Source organism: Homo sapiens, chromosome 13 (genome assembly GCF_000001405.40).
Source record: "Homo sapiens chromosome 13, GRCh38.p14 Primary Assembly".
NCBI classification, from domain to species: Eukaryota; Metazoa; Chordata; class Mammalia; order Primates; family Hominidae; genus Homo; species Homo sapiens.
This window is the reverse complement of record NC_000013.11, coordinates 83,718,758-83,740,991: the sequence shown is the minus strand read 5'-3', so window position 1 is coordinate 83,740,991 and position 22,234 is coordinate 83,718,758. Positions and strand designations below refer to the sequence as shown.

The following is a 22,234-nucleotide window of genomic DNA, read 5'->3' as shown; positions in this document are numbered from 1 at the left end:
AAATTCAGCTTCAAGTCTACATTTCTCTAAATATTCCTTGAGCTACAATGATCACTAGTACAGAGATTTTGAATCATTTGATCTGAAAAGTTATACCTGGCAGGTCTGTCTTATTTTTGCTCTTTTATTTCTTACTTTTGAGTATTTGGCAGGACTAATCATGTTGATTGATATGTGGTAAAAGAGACTGCTGTGAAAACTGCTTCAGAGCAATATGTTGCTGATGAAAATGGTGCAATTTAAGAATTTTAAATAAAGATGGAAATGGAATAACTTTAGTATTAGGAGATGCATGGGTTTCAGGAAGAACTGGAATAAGACCTCTATTTGTACTGATATCAGTTAGTAGTTAAGCTAAATTGCAAATGCCATTAACATTTTCTGTGAAAAGATAAATGAGGCTTAAAAATGCCAAAAAAGGTTTTCTTTATACTTTATTGTTATATTATAAATCAAAGTGGTTATCAATGGTTACAAGGTAATTCTGCATTTTCCTTACTTTAATATATATACTTTCACTCTTCTGCTCCATTTCTCCAGTTAAATATAATATGGTAAGAACAGACAAAAAGGACGTACATTTTTCAATCTCACATTTTATTGCTTTTAAGATTGTTTCTATCTAATATAATAGTGAAAGGTGTCTGTACAATGCAAGAGGGTTTACAGCAAGGGGAAAAGAAGGTGTTGATGTAATCATGGGAAATTCACAGACTTAGCAGAGAACACCCTCTAAGCTCCATAGGGAACACACCCAAAATTCCATGAGGAGAGGAGCTTATGTGTTCTGTCTATTTCTGGATCAGCAGTTCCTAGGACTGTGTCTGGAACAAAATAGATGCTAAATACATATATTGAATAAATGAGTGAAAAAAAAATTCACAAGACCTTGTCTTCTCCAAAGAAGGAGACAAATGTCAGTAGACAAATGTCAAATTGGTTCTTGAGGATAATTTGGTTTTAGTCTTACTTAAAGCTGAGACTGTACTCAGTGATATCATTAATAATAAGAAGAAATATAGGGCTGGTTGCAGTGGCTCACACCTGTAATCCCAGCACTTTGGGAGGCCGAGGCGGGCGGATCACCTGAGGTCGGGAGTTGGAGACCAGCCTGACCAACATGGAGAAACCCTGTCTCTACTAAAAATACAAAGTAGCCAGGCGTGGTGGTGGGTGCCTGTAATCCCAGAGAGTCGAAAGGCTGAGGCAGGAGAATCGCCTGAACCCAGGAGGCAGAGGCTGCGGTGAGCCGAGATCGCGCACCATTGCACTTCAGCCTGGGCAACAAAAGCGAAACTCCATCTCACATTAAAAAACAAAACAAAACAAAACCAAAAAAAAGAGACTTTTTTTGTTATGTTGATAAATTAATTCTTTTTTCCAAAAGAAAAGCTTATGTCATTTATAAATGTCTTTAATTTATATTTTATATGTATATATGGAATAAATAATGAAGTAAATGCCTCTTATGATAAAATATCTGTCAATAGAGAGATAATTCAAATAAGAAAAATTCTCTCATCTATAAAATTGACACACTATTGTCAAAAAGTAACATAAAAATAAAACTACACATTGAAATTTAATACTTTTCTGCCTAAAAGTTTCTTTTTCATGATGTTTTGTGTTCTAATTTACATCTCTAATGAGATATAGTCCTGCATCATTAAAAAGCAGCAGCACACTCAAAACAGCAGTGGAAATAAAGCAAAACAAACAAAAAACACTATTGCAGAAAATTTGGAAAATTATAGCAAAGTTAAATAAGTATTGCTAAAAGTAGGAAAGAGAAAGGAAAATAAAAAAGAGTTCCCTTTTGGGGAAATGTATTACCATAATTTTTTAAAGGATTTTAAAAGTTCTCTTAAAAATGATTTATTTTTGCTTTTATAATATTCAGTCCTTAAAATTTACCTCAATTATGTAGGACTTTAGTGGGGAAACAAATATCCAACACATTTTTGGACACAAATCACAAACAGAATTGAACACAAATGAAAGGCTATTAAAAGGAACAAATCAGCCTGAGCAAAAGGAGAATCCTCTGATCCTCTGTACCATCCAAACAACTGCACGTGTTCTTGGTAACCCTTGAAGGCATGCACAAAGTGTTTCTTCCAATCACATTACTAACATATTGGTTATTTGGAAACGACTTTCTTCCACATACATGTATTTGGGGAGGGCAAGAGTTATTCAGAAATGAATATATTTAATATCCATGCCTGTAATAACTGTAAGGATGAATAGTAGTAGTAGTTATCCAGAGAAATGGCATCAGAAAAAAATATTATGTTATGAGGGAAATCAAATGGTTTACTACATGACACAACTGGACTTTGCTGTCTCAATATTTGCCAGTAAAATAATGGGATTCATCATGCAGACAACCCTAACAGCAAGATGCCAATAGATCTAACTACTTTCGGTGCTACTCGAAATTGCAGAAGAATGATGAGTTAAAAGTCACAACAGCTAAAAAGGGAAACCACTTAGAAAGCAAAAATGGTGGAATTTATTAGAGATGAATGTCAGCAGAACGTACAACACAACTAAGAAATATCTGCCAGAATAACGCAATATTCCCAGGATTTTAGCAGATATTGTCTTTCTCTCACAATAATAATAATAATATCTAAATAACCAAAAATATACTAATACTAATGAATACCTAAATCTTTTTGTTTTTATTTGGTAGTGTTTTGTTATGTGTGATTGCTTTAAGACCACATATTCTCTGAGAGGCATTAAGATCGATCTATCTATCTCTTGTTCTATTGATCTAACAATTGAGTGATTATTTGTTTAATAAGATACATAAAGATATTTATATTTGTATCTATATCTATATAAAATGAAGAATGATAAACATCATAAATAACATAATTTGTTAATTTTAAGTCTCAGATAAACTTTGTAAGAAAATTCAAAACTATATGAAGATGCTAATCATATAATAATGTTCTTATTCATCATTGACTTCAATATAATTTTTAAATTATTTTGCTAGGTAAAAATATATGTTTAGATTTATTTTTTCTAAAATCTAAAATATATTTAATTTCCATAAAAATTACAAATTGATAAGTTGATTTAACTTTTATATACCAAGTCATTTTCATTTAAAAATCTTATTTCTTGAAAGAGATTCAAAATAATAAATTAATAACATAGGAGCCAGGATCATAGCAAATACTTTAAGGAAAATATTGGTAAAGTACTAAAGCTTTAGAAAAAAATCAAATGATCTCTTCACCCATATATACTTTATTTGCCATAAAATTACAAATATGATTGTATTAAAAGTCCTCCTTTATAAAACATGCACAGAATATGATCACCAAATGGCCTTGCATATATTTTACAATATGCAATCACTCTACTGCCATAAAGTTCTTATTGCTGACTAAATTTCTGGCTACAAACATCAACTACAGCCAGTCTCTTCGCCTCTCTTTAAAACAAATGTTACCTCTTAAATGTAAGCTTTGTTTCAAGTATAAATGTGAGTAGATAAATTAATCATGTGCTATAACATAAAAAGAGGAGGACAATAGGTCTCAAGAGGGAGGTAAATGCAAATGAAATAAAACATGTAATAGTCAACTCCAGGGCAATATCATGATTTTTATTGGAGCAGATGAGAAAGAAGGGTGTGCAGCCTCAAAATCATTAGTGCAATCAACTGTCCCCATTCCCAAACTAAATATTCATCAACAATCTGAATATGAGAATATAATTCTACAGTTCAAAAAACTTTAATATTGCAGACTTATCTGTGCTGCTGCTCTATGTGCTGCATACCAAATGTAACTACTTAATTATTTAGCCCTATATAAATTTGTGAGTTAGTGTGTGTGTATATATGTGTGAAATTATATCTTGCAAACACCTGCTGCTACTCATGCATTATGTAAACATAAATAGTGCCAAATGAGAAGGAAAGTGTATGGGATTCAACATATATTTTCCAGTCTACTTCATCTTGCTATTTTGGTGGTGTTGCAACTGAGTCTAAAAATTAGATAATATAAGATTTACCATTTTATTGTCTAAAGCAAATAGGTCAACAGAATAATTAAGATGGCAGGAAAATTTCCAGAAAGACAGCAATGAAATTAAAGGTACTTCCACCTATGTCTAGCATGTTAAGATTGTTCTAGATTGTATCAATTAATAAAGAGATTTTTTTTAACTTTCTAACGATATCTGAGAACTATTTGGAACATTTAGCATTTTAAACCTTGAGTTTTGAGTATTATAGGTAATTTAGTGAGCAAGCAGGATCAACTTTGCCATTGGTTCTTTCCCCCTACTACCGCAGAAAATTAACTTGGGGATGGTATTTTTAACATTATTGGGTGTTCTATGAAATATGTGTCCTACAGCCTAGACATCTGAGTCCAAATTGCCACACAAAACACGGGGGAAAAAAAAACACCACAACTCATAGCTCTTTATATATAATTCTCAACTAAAAGAGAGATTGGACTTCATCAGGCATGTCAATAAATTAATTGTTTTACTGATGGGATAAAAATCAATAACAAGGACTTTGAGAATTTGGACACCAGAGACTTCATTACCTAACTCTAGACAAAATAACTCAACATGCATTTTTCCTGGAAGGATATCTCTCAAGTTCCTAGTAGGCAGTTCTTACCATTGAATCATTTCTGTAAGGGAAAGACTTTGTGGAATTTCTTCTCTTCATGTGTAGTATTGTGAAAGGTAGAGGATGGACCCTGGCACCAACAGGGCTTTCTCTAAAGCTCATTTCCAATATGCATTAATTGAGTAATCATGGAAGATTAGTTTAAATCTCTTGGAAATTTAGTTTCTTCTTGGTGGCTGGCATTGATAAAGATTGTTCTATAGTTACATAAGACAATGGGTAAAAATTGCACATGTAGTATAGCATACATACTAGATAATACAAAAATATCATGCCCTTCCCTCTTTTATTATTACACAGTTAATTGCTCATAATAAAATATATTTTAAGTCATGACCAAAAATTTTTAGAAAATGACTTCTGCAAAAATAAATTAGATGCTAGCTACTATATTCTGCCCTTCAATTTAGTGATCCTTCCTTAACAATATTTTTGGTGGTATATTATTTTAAATTTAATATTTATTTTCTCAACAAATCAGATTGTAAGACTGACAATAATAAAAAAATTAACAGTTTAAAATATCCTGTATAGGAAGGCCGAGGTGGGTGGATCATGAGGTCAGGAGATTGAGACCATCCTTGCTAACACGGTGAAACCCGTCTCTACTAAAAATACAAAAACAAAATTAGCAGGGCGTGGTGGCGGGCGCCTGTAGTCCCAGCTACTGGGGAGGCTGAGGCAGGAGAATGGTGTGAACCCAGGAGGCAGAGCTTGCAGTGAGCCGAAATCGAGCCACTGCACTCCAGCCTGGGCAACAGAGCGAGACTCCATCTAAAAAAAAAAAAAAATCCTGTATAAAAAAATTTAACATTTATTGAGCATTGCTGTGTGCTATATATTTTATATATGTTCTTTTAAAAGCAGATATTGTTTTTCTTATTTTGCACATGGTCACTAAGGCTTTCGAATTTAAAATAGCTTGCTTAAGTTTTTCAAACTTTAATTAAGGCTCAGGTCTCTGGGGCTCCAAAGACCATGCACCATGCAATACAAAATTCCTGTGTTTGTGCAGGTGATCATGAACTTTGTCCATTTATATCCTTATAATATCTTCTTTATTTGGTTCTGATTAAAAAAAATCTGTTAGATTCTGTGTCTAAACACAATGGAAACAATGCCAAAATATATTGGTACTAATCAGCTGTGTCAAGAAAAGTACACATTGGTATTAATGAACTGTGTCAAGAAAAGTACTTTCATTTTTGTCAAAATTACCATCTATAAGCGACTTGAGTAAGTAGAAACAATTGTAAATTGAAAACAATGGTAGATCAAGATTAGTTTAGAATCACAATGGCAAGAAATAATGTTTTGCATGTGGACTGAAAGGATAGAAAATGGAAAAATGGGGAAAAAATGTAAGGGTGTTCCTCCTAGATCAGGTGCAAAGTTAAGTTGTAATTATAGATCGTGTTATAACTTGTAAAAAAGGAGACACATACATGACCCTGTCTTAGATTCAGACAGTAATTAGGGTCATTTGCATTACAATGTAGTCATAGCCCTCAAATTCTTCAGGACAAACTTCTCCATCTTCCTCTCATTCCTCTTTCCCCGGTGCTATCTAATTAATTTTCTTCCTATTCAAGCTCTCTGATATTTCTTTTACTTGTCCATTCCACTAAACCTCTCAACTTCTATTATTTCTTTTTACAAATGCTCTATTTCATCTCTCCTTCAGAATAATTTTTTTTCTTTTTTCTTTTTTTTTTTTTTTTTGACAGGGTCTTGTTCTGTCATGTTCTGTCATCCAGGCTGGAGGGCAATGGTATGATCCTAAGTCCCTGGAGCCTAAAACTCCTGGGCTCAAGAGATCCTCCCATCTCTGCCTCCCAAGTAGCTGGGACTAGAGGCATGTGGCACCACACCCAACTAATTTATTTTTTATTTTTCATTTTTTTGTAGAATTCGGGGTCTTGCCATGCTGCCCAGCCTGGTCTGGAATTTCTGGCCTCACATCATCCATCCACCTAGGCTTCCCAGTGCTGGGATTACAGACATGAGCCCCTGTGCCCAGCCAGAATACATTTTAAAATTCCTTTTTCTCTACTCATTTTTTATTCTTACCTTTTTTCTCACTTCTTTCATCCTTACAAACACCCTTCTCCAATCTCCACCCACAGTAGTCCAGTTTTCTTCTGCTTCTAGTAGAACTTTAATTATATCCACTCTCTTCCCTGCATCTTCAGCCTTTTTTCCTCTATTGACTCTTGCCTATTTGCCTCTATGCTGTATTCTTGTCTTTCAATCTAAAAATGTTAAACTCTGTATTATTTTCCCTTCCCCAGTAAGGTTTATTTTACCTTTAGATATGTAAATTACCCTATGTTACTTTTTGTTTCAGCAAAATTTGTTGAAATTTTATTTAGACTTTTTGTCTTTATTTTTTCAACTTTCCATTTGTTCTCAATTCGTTCTCACTGATCAGTAGAATTGACAATTGCTAAAGTGACTGATGATTTCCATGTCACTGAAACCAATCATTACTTTTGAGAATTTTGGATCTCTCAAGGATAGATGATCCAGCTTATTCCCCCCTGTACCTTCCTGATGTACCCTTGGATACCAGGACATTATACTCTCTGGGCTTTCAACTCAGTTTTGGAGGTATTTATCCTCCATATCATTTGCTGAATCTCTTCCTCAAATAGTGTATGCCCTCATGTTCCTGGAAGGCTGGCATTTTCCTTTTCCTGTATGTTTACTAATGAGAGTTGATTCATTGCAGTCACTTCTATCATCATCAACTTGTAAATGCAAATTCCCAGCCTGAAACTCCTTGTTGCAAATCTAGAATAACTGCCCAACTGTGAAACTGACATCTGTATGTGTTACTTCTATGCAAGCATCTCAAATTCATTATGATTCTGACTGTACTGCTCATTCTACTTCACCCACACCTACTTCTCCACTGGAGTTTCCTATTGCCATTATTATAAACATCTATCTACCTCCTTTCTCAGGCCACATACCAGGGAGTCATTCTTAATTCCTCCCTCTTCCTAAAACATACACTTCTTCCTAACATGTGCACCTAAACAATTACCAAATCTTTTCATTTAACAACTTAATATATCTTGAACTTTTCCACTGAGCTCCAACCATCCCTAATGCGTCTATCACAAGCAAAACTAAGAGAGTATCCTGCTAAATCCCTACTCTTGACATTCTTTAATTTATTCCACCCACTGCATTCAAAATTATTATTTCTTTAAAAAATGTACATAAAGTCATTAATATCCTTTAATATCTATTTATAGACCTTTGGTCGAGGCCTATATCTGGTCTTGAAGACATGTAAATAGCCTCTGCTTTCATTTTCAGCACATTTTTAACACTACTCCCTCTAAGCTCCTTACCCTGCTTTTCTTCTGTCTGTTCTGAGAATGAGCCATGTTCTCCATGTTTTTAAACATGCTATTCTGTCTGAATGAAATCTCTTCTTTATAACCACCCTAGCTGCCCAACTAATAGACTCACTTTATCTCTTATCAGAAATACGACTTGCTCTCAGAGGGCTCAATTCTCTCCCGTGTCTAGGATAGATTCATTGTTCATTTTTACTTCCACCTTCATGTTTATTATACTCAGAGTTGTTTGTTCATTGTCGGTCTTTCCCAAAAGGAGACAACATCTTTGTTATTCACCACTGAGTTCCTAGGACCTAGCATAATGCCTGACATATAATTGATACCCTGTTTAATTAAATTGGTTTATTTTTCCTTCATGAAAATTTGATATACATTGATGTGGACAGTGAAATTAAATTAAACCAAAAAAGACTCAACCCTGTAACATATGCAGGGTAATATGTGAATAGAAGGAAAAAATCATGTATTACTCAGGCTGTCAACTTACATTTTAACCTAGTTCATGTGTTTCTACTTCTACATAATTAAAGCAAATAGATTTATTATTTTTTTAATAAAGGCAGACTGGTGGAAATTGAAGGAGGAGTTTGTATCACTAACTCTCATGTATAGACCTACATGTTGATAAACAATTAGGAAACCCAATAAGCACTGAATAATCTCATATGTTTAAAGGAAAATTTAGATCCAGATAGTTCACACAGAGAGAAAGGTTAAAAGGTTGGTCACATGCACATTTTAAGATAAATATTTGTTATGACAAATGGCAAGATAATGAGACACAGTCTGCTAAAAACAAAATAAAATGATCCCTCTTTATTACAGGCTCTCTACTGCACCAGTACATATAATTAAGACAGAAGTTTCTGTCTATTAAATTGTCCGTGGATTTGCTTGATTATATTCTGCTTTTAAGCAATCTGCAATCTATTCAGAATCATTTTAGAGATCTTGGATTTGATTGTTTTAATTATAACTCTGAGCTTCATGTAAAAAAACTTTGTTTCCTTTTCTGTAGTGGTGGGAAATCGAATGGCGTATGAAGACACACACACACACACCTACACACACAACAAAATTCATGAGTAGTCATGCTTGCTAAGCAAAAATTGTTCTTTCCTTTCATTCTTTCTTAAAATGCAAACATTGGAAGAGTAGATTTGAAGTCAAAAGTTCCGACTGCTTATTCTTAGCCATGGGATTTGAAGAAGGTAATTTCATCTTAAGCCGCAGTCTTTCTCTTTTTCCATAAAAAGTGTATGTAACATTTCATGTACATTTTCTTAGCAACTTTGAGGATAAAATTAAACAGTGATTGTAGAAAAGCTTTCATAATGTGAAAGGCATTACATAAATTTAAATTAATAATTTAACTTTCTCTTTTTTCTATATTAGCCTCCTCATGGCAGGTTTGTGGAAATTTATAAATAAGAGTCCTGTAGGACCTGCTTCTAGTTATTTATTTTTAGATCTAGACATAATTTTTTTAACCAGAATTCTTACAACACACTTAGCAATTTCTAATTAATTACTCACTTTTGTTTACTCCTGTGGTAAGTCTTAATGCCAATATTTACACCCCCCATATTGAGCCACTCCACTGTGTTCTAGTTTACACTTGGAGTTCTCAAATATTAGCATGGATCAGAATCATATGCAGAACTTGTTAAACAGGTTGCTTGATTCCAACTCCAGAGTTTCTGATTAAATGGACCTTCTATTCTGCATTTCTTACAAGTTTCAAGTTGTTATCTATGCTGTTGGTCCAGTAATATTATTTCAAAAAGCGCTATTCTAGCAGGGTTTCTTTCATATTTTAACACTTATATCAATTGAGTGGCTTTATCTCCATAGATTTATACCTAATTGACCTTATAGATATGCTTTAACATTGGTATCAAACAAACAAACAAACAAAAAAAACCAGAGTTGAGATTCACTGCTTTAGAAGTAGCGTTTCCCAATTCCATGCCAAAAGCATACTCAGCTGAATTAGAATGACAAGGCAATGGACTAGGATTATATACTGAGAGTCACCCATGGCTTCTGCATTCTGTCATTTAAATGAGTATGCAGCCCAGACAGTTGCAGCGTTCAACAGAAAAAGTCTGTTTGCGTAACTAACAGGTATTGTTTATCCAGTTCATCCCAAACTATGAGCTGATGCAGTCCAACGGACGGCTGCGGAGTACAGGGAGCAAAGGTGTAGATTTTCCTAGTTCCCTGAATTTTATTCACACATGGGGTTTTGCTTATGAAAAGTTTTCTCCATATTGTGGGTGTTTTGATGCAAAAACAGTAGCTCAGGCACCAACATTCCAGATCAATGCTGTCCACCTGGCAGTTGCATGACTCTGATTGCTATCTTAAAAAAAGACATACAGAACAGACTTAGGACTGATCTCACCGCTGTTAGAGATAACCAGTTCATGGGCACTATTAACAAACTTAGCATAAGAAATATTAAGCTTCCCAGGCTTTATATCTTGCTGACAGAGATAGCATTTTGAGACAAAGTACTTTAGTCAGAGATAAAGTAAGACATTGTTACCTTCCAGAAATTAAGAATTATACTTAGCTTGACTTTAATCCTCACCTTTGCTTGAAACTTTGGCCTGTTCTTTACCTTTCGTATACCTACTATGAACACACAGCTTTGATTACGTGTCTCCATCATCAAACAATGAACACTGTATTCAGATATGGGCTATTCTAGACTATTAGCATGTGAGAGCTAGTACTATTTCACAAATGCTGCTCAATAAAAAGTACATATTATGCTTTTAAAATATTAATTTAATAACATGACATTTCTGAGCAAATAATAATAGAGAAAAGTATATGTTGAAAGAAGAGTCACTAGTTTTATGATATTATATATGTTGTTATAAACTTTTTGTCAGGTATATGGTAGTTACTGCAATGATCTTTTTTTTTTGAGACGGAGTCTCGCTGTGTTGCCCAGGCTGGAGTGCAGTGGCGCTATCTCGGCTCACTGCAAGCTCCGCCTCGCGGGTTCACGCCATTCTCCTGCCTCAGCCTCCCGAGTAGCTTGGACTACAGGCGCCCGCCACCATGCCCGGCTAATTTTTTGTATTTTTAGTAGAGATGGGGTTTCATCGTGTTAGCCAGGATGGTCTAGATCTCCTGACCCCGTGATCCGACGGCCTCGGCCTCCCAGAGTGCTGGGATTACAGGCGTGAGCCACAGCACCCAGCCTGCAATGATCTCCTTTAGATGAATATCAAGTCTTGGTTAATTCCTTTATTATAAATAATATTATTGTTTTCCTGTACGTAAAACCATTTAGACGAAATAAAATTCGGTCTTATAATCATTGGGTAAATGGGAATGAGAATATTGGTGAAATGTTTTTTAAGTTTTAATGCAAATTTTAGGAAATTTAAAGATATAGAAAAGTATAAAGTAGAAAAGAAAAATCAGCCATTTTAATACAATACAGAGTTACTTTTAACAATTTATTGTATTTATTTCTTGATTTTATTGTATAATGTTACCAAATATTTTTAGTATTCCTTTATTTTATTTAAATATTTAATACCAAAATTCTTAGAAATCTTCATAAGCATAATTTAAATAATAATAATAATTGAAGCTAGGATTTATAATATGCTGATTGTATCTGCTATGTGGTAAAATCCATATATTTGATATCAGTCAATTGTTTTCATAACGTAGGATATATTTTTTATCTTTTATCTTTTAAGAGTTTCCAAAAGCCATTGTACTTTTCCTTTGGAAATTTTTTTAAGAACAGTCTACTTCCAATATATTTATTAAATATTTAAAAATAAAGCTTAACATATAAATGCACATGCCATTGATGATTTTCTCATCTGTTTAGCAACAATGCTCTTCAAAATATAAAATATTCTCAGCACCAGAAATGCATTCTTATGTCACATTCCAGACATCAGCCTTCCTGTTCTATAGGCTAGTTTAACATGTTTTTGAGCTTTATCTAAATGGACTCATATAACACGTTCTTTGTGGTGTGTGGCATTTTTTAGATTTAGTTCTATTTTGTCTGATATTTATGTATCATTTTGCATAAAATGATAGTTGGTTCATTTCCAGTAGTTTTTGCTATAATTATGGATATCTACACCAAGACTTCAATTTTGACTTGTTACTGTCATTCACCAATAACTCATAATATATGTATAGAAATACATGGCTAAGACTGGGAGGGGTGGCTCATGCCTGTCATCCTGGTGCTTTGGGAGGCCAAGGGGGGAAAATAGCTTGGAGGCCAAGAGTTCAAGGTCGGCCTGGTCAACATAGCAAGATACTGTCTCCACAAAAAAATTTAAAAATTTGCCAGGTATAGTGGTGCACACTTTTCATCCCAGTTACTCCAGAGACTGAGGCAGGAGTATCGTTTGAACATAGGAGTTCAAAGCTTCAGTGAGCTATGATTGTAACACTGCACACCTGCCCAGGCAACAGAATGAAACACTGTCTCTAAAAAAAAAAAAAACAAAACAAAACAAAAAAAAAAACACAGAAAAAAGAAATGTGACTAAACTGTCTGTCAAACAACTGGAAAAAAAATAAAGTTTTAAACAACCAGAACAGATAATGAATAATAAATCAACTGTACAATGAAGTATTTGTTATACTTACATAGTCTCCATGAGCCATTAAAAATTCTTACAAAACCAACACCTCAAAACCTTAAATCGCCATATACTATATGCTAAAATTATAGTATATAGTATATGTCTTCCAGAAAATGCAAAATGAAATAGGTACCAGTTTTGCCTTTAGTGACATGAGCCCTCCCACGTAACCAACCCCAATGCCATGGTGGGGTATGTTTGATAAATGATGATCTCTTCAAGACCTCTCACTTCATGCTTTTATCTATCTAGTTAGGGGGAAAAATACACTTACTGTTAGGAATTATCTTAAATAGTTAATAATTCCAAATGCAATGAAATGAGCATTTATTAAGTCAACCAAATGTAGGTAGTTGATATCAATTCACTGAGTAATAGAAAAAAGATATTATTTATACAGTACAATATTATTGATGTTTTCTTTAATCACATGAAGCAGGCAGAAAAACACAATTACACAAATATAGTTAAATCAATCAACAGCTGCATACTCAATAGATATGGGTAGGATATTTCCTATAATAGTGGCTGTTGCCTATCCAGCTTCCATTCATCTGTTCTTACTCTTTTGAGGCAATCCTCCCATCACTCATGATCCCATGCATCTCAGGGGCAGACACAAATCAAACATTATGAATAATAAATAACACATTATGCAAATTATTGCAGAATTTATAATTTTCAAAGTAAGATTCTTGAAATATAAAAATTAATATTTTAAAAATCATATTGAGTAGAGAGTTTATATCATACTCTGAGATTTTGTTAACAAGAGAACTGGCTCCAAATGTGGAATTTTCTTGAGACAGGCCTATAAAGAGTGTGAGTTGGTTAGTATTATATTCTCTGCTGGAAATCAAGTTTAAAGTGTGTTTAATGATAACTTCTGGTATGAAGAAAGCTGGAAAATAATCAAAAATAACAAGAACATACAAATAATGGCAATAACAAAATATTGCTATTTTACCCTTTTTATTGTAGATAAAAATGAATATTTCTGCTGAAACCATAAAAAGAGATAGTATATTATGTTTAAGGATACTTAAAATATGTCAGTATGACTCCAAAGTGGAAATGAAAAACAGGTTTACATAAACACTGTCTAACAAAAATATAGATATATATGTTAATTAATTTGACATTCTCTCATTGTCTGAATATTAACATTTATTCCCAAAAATATTATACTGTATTTCTACAAAATTACATTCAAGTGAACAACTGAGAGAATTATACAAATATAAATTGACTCTAGTGTACTAAAATTATTTCTTAAGTAATCCCAGGACTTATGTCACATTTTTTCTATTTTTTAAAATTGTGGTAAAAGCAATTACTAAGGAATCTACTCTTTTAACAAGCTTTTACATGCAAAACACAGTATGGTTAACAAAGTCACAATGTTATATAGCAGATCTCTAGGACTTTTCCATTTTATATAACTGATATTTTATAGCTGTATAGTAACTTCTATTTTTTCCTCTCCACAGTCCCTGGCAGTTAGCGTCTACACTCTCTTTCTATGAGTTTGACTGTTTTAGATAACTCACACGAATAGAATCATACAGAACTTGTGTTTCTGTTACTGGACAATTTCACTTAGCATAATGTCTTCTAGGTTCAACTTTGTTGTTTCATATGGCAGGATTTCCATAATGATTCATGATGTGAGAATTATTTCATATACCTGTTGGCCATTTGTATATCTTCTTTGATGTCATGTCTATTCAAATCTTTTGTTCATTTTTAAAAGAATTATTACGTTTTCAAAAAATACTATTGAGTTGTAGGTGTCCTTATATATTTTGCATATTTCACATTATTTTAAGGAGAAGTGTCTCCGAGGTCCATTGTTAAATGCACTGATCTTGACCTATCCCAATGTGGATGACTTTTTCACCATCACTGGCATCTTTTTCACCTGTAGTCTCTCATTATTGTGATTAACATAACAAAGCAAGGAGAAGTTGCTTCTTGCTGGAGTTAGATAAGACTAGTAAATTGGGAAATACTTTTCCACTCCATGTTTTAATTGCTTCACTTGAACAGACAATAGTTGAACTTTATAACTGTAGGCTTGAAGAATTCAGCCACCAGATACAAAATTTATACAAAAACACAAAATAACTGCATATAAATAAGAGCAACAGCAAAAAAATGTGATATGCCTTTCCTACCCTTGATTTGTGTTAGTTTGTCTTATTATTTATCTTTGCTGTAAGCATGAAGGACATTGCTGTCCTAATTTTGGAGGTTTTCTTCAATAAAGAAGCAAATCTCGACTAGCTGCTCTAAGTTAAATTGGAAAGGATATACAGTCTGTATCTATCTAGTACTAGCATTAAAATGTTAATCCTCTCTCTCTCTCTCTCTCTCTCTCATTGTGGTATAAAGACTGATTCATTTGGCTGAAAATTAGTTAACTAGTGAGACATAGACCAAGTGTCATTGACATCGAATAAATAAATGCCCTATTCCCTATTTTGTCCATAAAAATATAATCCTAGTATATTTCTAGAGTAAATCAAGGTCTGGGTACATCAAATCACAACCTAACTTTGTAGAAGATGGCACTTAATGTTTCATTTTCAGAAGTTTTTTTTCAACTTTTCATTTATTCATTAAGGCAGGTATCTTAAATATTTGTGTGACTGTTTAGCTGAGTTTTATTTATTTCTAATTAATTATTTATTGTTATTATTTTTGGTGACCCAGGTCAGAGTGGCATGTTCATGGCTCACTGCATCCTCTAACCCCTGGGCTAAAGTGATCCTTGCTGGATTTTATTTAAATTTTGGTCATAATAGTATGTAGTGTTGTCATTGCTAGTCATGCAAAATCTGATACATATAGTATTTTTATTTTAGTATCAGAATCCTATTAGCATTCTTTAATCTGGAATGGTTTACATATAAAAATACATTAATATGTGATAATGTAGTAAATTTTTGTAATGGATATATACAAAGAAAATGGAAATTGTCGTTTGTATACAAGTAAAGAGTGTATTTTAATGGATTTTTAAATAAACCATATTATGGTAGAACATACCATTAATGTTCTAAAAACAATAATGAGAGAATGTGTTACACATATAACAGAACTTAAATAACTATAAACACTTTGTGCAGCTTTTGAAGATAATGTGTTTTTGCTATTTTTAAATTTTGAAAAATGCTTTTATTTATAAAATATTGAACACTATCATTCACTGTATTCAAATGGTATTGAGATAGGAAATACACAGATACCCAGAATCTATATATGTAACCAGTCTGTGCTTCCAAATATATTTGCAATATAATAATTTTTTTGGAAATGATGCTATCTTTTCTTCAAATTCCATGAATAAATTCTACCTAATGCTAACTAACCTTCTCATTAACATATGGCTTTATTCGTAATAATATTGTTCCCTTCTCAAAAAATTATGGTAACAACAAGGCCTATAACACTATCTCACTTGAAGTAAATGGACTTAATATTACCCAACTGTGTAAACACGTTGCATTTATGATATTTCATGCTGCTTTGTATCACTATGCCACTATGCTAGGGTAACATTCTTGTGCATTTCAACAATTCTGTGAGTAAAAAAATGAATTGACTATAATAATTCATCTTTGACAATTGGAGAATTTAAATATCTGTCACAAATACGTGGTTACAAAATAGCACCTTTGGTAGATTTTTTTGTTCTTATTTTGTCGTGTGTGTGTTTTTGTGTGTGTGTGTCCTATAATCAGTTGTATATTATGGTGAATTTTATTCAAAGTGATACGATATAATCTTATTAAAATGTTAACATGTTAACATCTACTTATTAAATGGTTTGATTTTGAGAAAGTTTAACTGCATTATAAATTCACACTTTTGTTTTTGATGATGAATTGCAAGTATGAAGAATTACTTGATATTGTATATTATAAAAACTTGCTTTCTAATAGATGCTTAGTAAATAGTATCTATTACAGTTTTCTTATTTTCAAGTTTAAAATATCTTATACTGTTACTCTTTATGTTTTTCCGTGAGTTCTTTTCCTATTAGGCTTAAAATGTTAGCTTCATGATACTGAAACACATTTTCACTGTGTCATTAAAGAGCTAGCTTAGGAAATAAGAATAAGTAACTGCAAATCAGAATGTAAAACATTTATTTTTATGTGCCATTCAACGTGTGAACAATACAGGTGCAGGAAATAAGATGCTTTGTTTGAATTATTCTTTTCTGCTGAAAAATATGTAATGAAGGAATTTGCATGACTAATATACATTTTTGGCCAGAGTTTCTACATTGCCAAAATTTTACTGTGGTTTCAGCTGCATTTGAATGTGCGTGGGGGAAAAAATAAAGTTTTGAGTAAGCCATAAACACGATTGCTTTTCAATAAGCAATATACTTACCAACAGTGCATTTAAATCGCTATAATATTATTATATAAACTTAATGGTTTTATTTGGCAAAAAGCTATTTTACTATGCCATTTCATTAAAACAAAGCTTCTTAGAGTGCACATTTTCAAGAGAGACAGAAAGAGAAAGAGAGAAGAAAGTTAGGTTCTTATGGTCACAGAATTTTAATCTTCAGAATAATATTATGACACTGAAGTATGTATCCATACTAGAAAGTAAAATTAGAATTAGAATAAATAGCACCAATACAAACATTAACCCTGGCTTACTTGGCTGTTTTTGTTGTTGCTGTTGTTGTTGCTACTGTTTTGCTTGAGTCACAACACCACCACAACGGCTATTTTATATGCGTGCCTTGTGAGGCTAATTCTTCAGTACTTTTAGGCTAAGAGTTTAGGGACTCCTGGATTTCAAATCTCATACTTATTATAAAAGGAAATATATTTGAAAACTTTAGAACTTCATGTCTCAGCTATTGTCTGGAATATTTAACTTTACATTCTAGTTTAAGGGTTTTTCAAGTGTCTGAGAATAATTAACTTTAGAATATGCGTTCTTATTAAATTTTGACTTTGTAGCATTTTGTCAAATTTCTATTTTTTTCCCTAGATTTTTTAGCTTTGAACATCTTCAAAATATTACATCTGGGACTATTTTTTAAAGTATAATTAATATACCGTAATATTCAGTTGTTTAAAGTGTCCATTTCAGTTGCCGTTGCTGTATTTGTAAAGTTGTACAACCATCACCATTATTTAATCCACAAGACCTTTACCACTCTAAAAAGAAAGACGTACTTGTTGGCAGTCCCTCCCTACACCTTCCTCCCCCTTCCTCTATCCCCGGTATCAATCTACTTTCTATCTTTATTGATTTGCCCGTTTCGGCATTTCGTATATATGGAGTTATGTAATATATGGCCTTTTGTCTGTCTTCTTTCACCTAGTATCATGTTTTCAAGGTTCATCCTGAACAATTTTATATATTAATAACATTATTCTTACATTTTATGATACATTTATTACTAGTTCAAGTAATCTTCCAAACCATTTTTCCTTTTGGAAAGTTTGGTTTATTGCAATCCTGCAATTTTGTTCAAAGTTGGAAAGGTAAATGTAAGCCATGTCTCCTCCAAATGAAGTGAGTTGGAGTTACCCTTCATTGCACCCCTTTCCCTGGTGCACTAGCTGTTTTGTGTGATCTGTGAAATAAAGGTGCTGTCTGGTCCTTGCCTGTCACAGTTGCCTGCCAGCAGCCATTACGGGCTACATAAAAACTGCGTAAGATCCTTTTATCATGCAATGGAAGTTTGGCAGTGCAGGTGAAACCTTTTTCTGTCAGGTAATTCATTGTTCTCACCTAAGAACACAATTTAAAAGGCCCAAGAGAAATGGAAAATGATCTTAATGTAGATCTAACTCTTTTAAGCAGAAGAAAAATGATGAGCTGCTTTCACCTCCTTCAGAAATTTAATGCCTAAATCAATCTCTAAATTTTATATAAATGGTGGAATGCATCAAAGATAAATCAAAGATCTATATAAGAGCAAAGTAGATGATTGAAAATTTATACAAAGAAGTTCCAGGAAGCCACATCTTTAGCATGCAAAGCCCATTCTCGGGCCTCTAATTTATGTTAAATGTTTTTGAAACATGCAAACTAATACTGATTACAAGCAGGAATAGAGACTGAGAAAGAAGAACACACACTGAAATATAATTATATGGTTGTATTGATAACCCAGTTCATATTCATCTTTTCAAAACGAATCATTATGCCTACGAAGATAAAACTATGAAGACCTTAAAATGCAGGTGTCAAAGGCTCAAATTAGAGTTAATGTTGTAGAGGTTGTGCTAGTCACTTTGATCCTTTATTAAGGTTAAATAAAAGACAATAGAAAAAGATGTACTCTGACAATTGATTAATTTAAATCTGGGACAAAGATTCTAAATTTAATTATAGTTGTATAAAAGTGATACTATTTACATTTGTTGAATAATTCACTGAGGTTCAAAAATTAAAGGAAAAGCTGGGCATAGTCAACAGGCAATCCATCTGTTGGAAGAAAACATCTCAGAGTTATAGACAAACGCTGACCTTAATGCACCTAACACCAATATTTTACACTAAATAGTTTATTTGAGGAATAGGGTAGCAGAAAGATGAAAGTATTGACAGTTAAATATTTGTATGTGAAAACACTGGACCTCCCATGTGCAAGCAGGATAGGCTTTAATGAACTAATGATGCTTGCTGGGCCTCAGGTTCCTCATCCATAAAATAAAATTTGTTAATTATAACACCTATTAAAATGTGACAATTAAATAAATGACGTTAAGACTCTGGTACTTTGGCTTATGGGCTTGTAGCAAATAGTAGCTGTTATTATAATGCCATGCTTTCAGGCTAGATCCCCATATGTATTTTTCCCAATCTGAAGATTCTTTAATCCAATTAACTTAGTCTATTTTTTTTTTTTTTAAACAGAGTCTTGCTCTGTTGCCCAGGCTGGAATGCAGTGGTGTGATCTTGGCTCACTGCAACCTCCACCTCCCGGGTTCAAGCGATTCTCCTGCCTCAGCCTACCGAGTAGGTGGGACTACAGGCACCCGCCACCATGCCTGGCTAATTTTTGTATTTTTAGTAGAGACGGGGTTTCACCATATTGCCGAGGCTGGTCTTGAACTCCTGACCTTGTGATCCACCCGCCTTGGCCTCCCAAAGTGCTGGTATTATAGGTGTGAGCCATGGCACCCAGCCTAACTTTATTAAATCAATCTTCCTTTTCTTTATATTCCACGTTTTAAAGCTAAGCCTAATAAAGTAGAGAACACATTAGCTAGTGTCTAGAAAACTACAAATGTGCTGGATTCTTTCTCCATCATTAGCAATTTTTAGGATATGTTTCTAAAGCACATGTCTTCGAAAGGCTTTTAGGTTAATGAAGATAATAGCAACCTATAGGAAAACTAACAGATTAGATTTTAAAGGAAACTTTGGTTAGAACCAGGATTTACCATTTTTTTTTGTTATTCCTTTCCAATTACTGTCATTAATAATTTTCAAGGCTAATATAAGCATGTAACCTCATATTTTACTCATTTCTTTTAGATTCAGTATCCTTATGTCATAAAACCTGCAACACACATAGAGGAGACCTATAAATTTTCCAAAGTCATAAATGAATCATTAATAGAGCTATACAAGCCTAGTCTTTTTTATTTAACTAAATTTAAACATTTTATGTCATGAAATTACCATCATATTAGGAATTGGTAAATAGCTCAATTAATCCACATCCTTTTCATGCACAAGTTTATAAATTAGTTTAAAATTAATAACTACTTCTTCATCTTTTTTTTCTTTTTTTGGATTCTTGCCTTGCAAGTGTTTTGGCCGCTTGATATTGTGCTGGCATCTGTGTCAGAGGACACATTGAATCAGGGGAATTTTAGCTAATATTAAATCATTTGGTTAAATTTTTAGTATAGGGAGATTGAAGAGATTAAGTAAAATCGAAGTTAGGCAGTTTCTGTGAATTTCTTTTATACACCATTATCAAAACATAGGAAGTTTCATCACACTTGTTTGCATCTAACATTTAATGAATAGTTTTCTAATTTTGTAACATTTACAGGTACTCACAACGAAGATCACACATGACTCTTTATTTTCTATTATGAAGCAACAGCCTGAAAAAACAGCCACTTATTAAATACTGAGGTGAGAAAGTTTTTTTTTTTTTTCTTTTAATATGAGATGGGGTCTTGCTCTTTTGCCCAGGGTAGAGTGCAGCGGTGCCATCTCGGCTCACTGTACCTCTATCCCTTGAGTTCAAGTGATTCTTCTGCCTCAGACTCCCAAGTAGCTGGGACCACATGCATGCCCTGCCATGCCCAGCTAATTTTTGTGTTTTTAGTAGAGACAGGGTTTCACCATGTTGGCAAGGCTGGTCTCGAACTCCTGACCTCAGGTGATCCACCTGCCTTGGCCTCCCAACGTGCTGGGATTACGCGGTTCTGGGATTACTCAGCTTGAGCCACTGCACCCAGCTGAGAAAGGTTTTAAACATAGTAAACTATGTTTAACTACGTTTAGTAAACTAAATCATGTCATCTAATATGACCTCTGAGAATTAACTATTTTTATCGTGGGGGAATGTCCCAATCATATTCAAGAGACTTAATAGTGAGGGTGGTATTTAATGGATTGTTACGTGTACAAATCTCTTTTATTTTAAATGAAGCCACTTACTTTTTGGTGCTTAGATCTCTAATATGCTAAAATTTATAAAGTTTTGGATTTTCTAAATAAATATCTCATAAATAATAAGATATTTTAAATAGTAATTTTAGTTGATTTTCAGAAAATCATACATTATTTTGTAGGATTCTTAAATTGATTTTGGTTTTTGTACGATAATATTTTATTTTGTGTTGTCATATCCTCTCAGTCACCAAGGCTACAAATCTCAAAGTCACTGCTTTCATTTAACCTCACCTTTAAACATAAAATAAGTTGTTTTAATATTTTGTATTTCCTTCTTTCTTCCTACTTCATCTGCTTATTCAAAATTTCAGTGCTCCTTGCCTCATAGTGGTTTAATTATTCACCCAAAATTGAGTCTCCTACTTTATTCTTTGTGCTCTGCATAGCTGGTATGCTAAAACACAATTTAAATTAAAGCATTACTCTCTTAACAACTGTTTGGTGAGTATAAAAGACCAAGTTCCTTATATTTCGCTGGAAAGGTTGAGGACCTTTCCATATTCCATGAGGAATATGATATGTCACTTGACTTTTCCCTTTTTTATTTCGTATTTTATCCCCAAATCTTTCTTCAGTCAAATGCCAATTTGCCATTTTCTGAGAAGAGGAGCATATGGTACTCTTCCTACTATGTGTCTTTTCTAAAATTCTTCCCTTTTTTCCTTACTTCCTTCTCTATTTCCTTAAAACTTATTATCTTCTAAAGTTGAACATAAATTTCTTTATGAAGAAGACTATTTCCTCACACAAATGAAAATTCTTATAATCAGTGTGAATATTTGTACTTGTAGTACAATACTGATTTACTCTGCTTCTCGTTAAATTAGATATTTGCTTCTCTATTTGAACTGCCTTGA

The 22,234-nt window shown here is 33.2% G+C and overlaps 1 long non-coding RNA gene across 3 annotated transcripts in view; it reads left to right on the top strand.

Moving 5' to 3' along the window:
- LOC105370286 (uncharacterized) overlaps positions 1-20,861 on the top strand; it is a 97,595-nt gene extending 76,734 nt beyond the window's left edge. For all 3 annotated transcript variants that reach the window (XR_942129.2, XR_001749945.1, XR_001749947.1), the window contains one exon: positions 20,746-20,861. This is a non-coding gene — a long non-coding RNA (uncharacterized LOC105370286). The remainder of the gene's footprint in view (positions 1-20,745) is intronic.
- Positions 20,862-22,234: the final 1,373 nt, after the last annotated feature.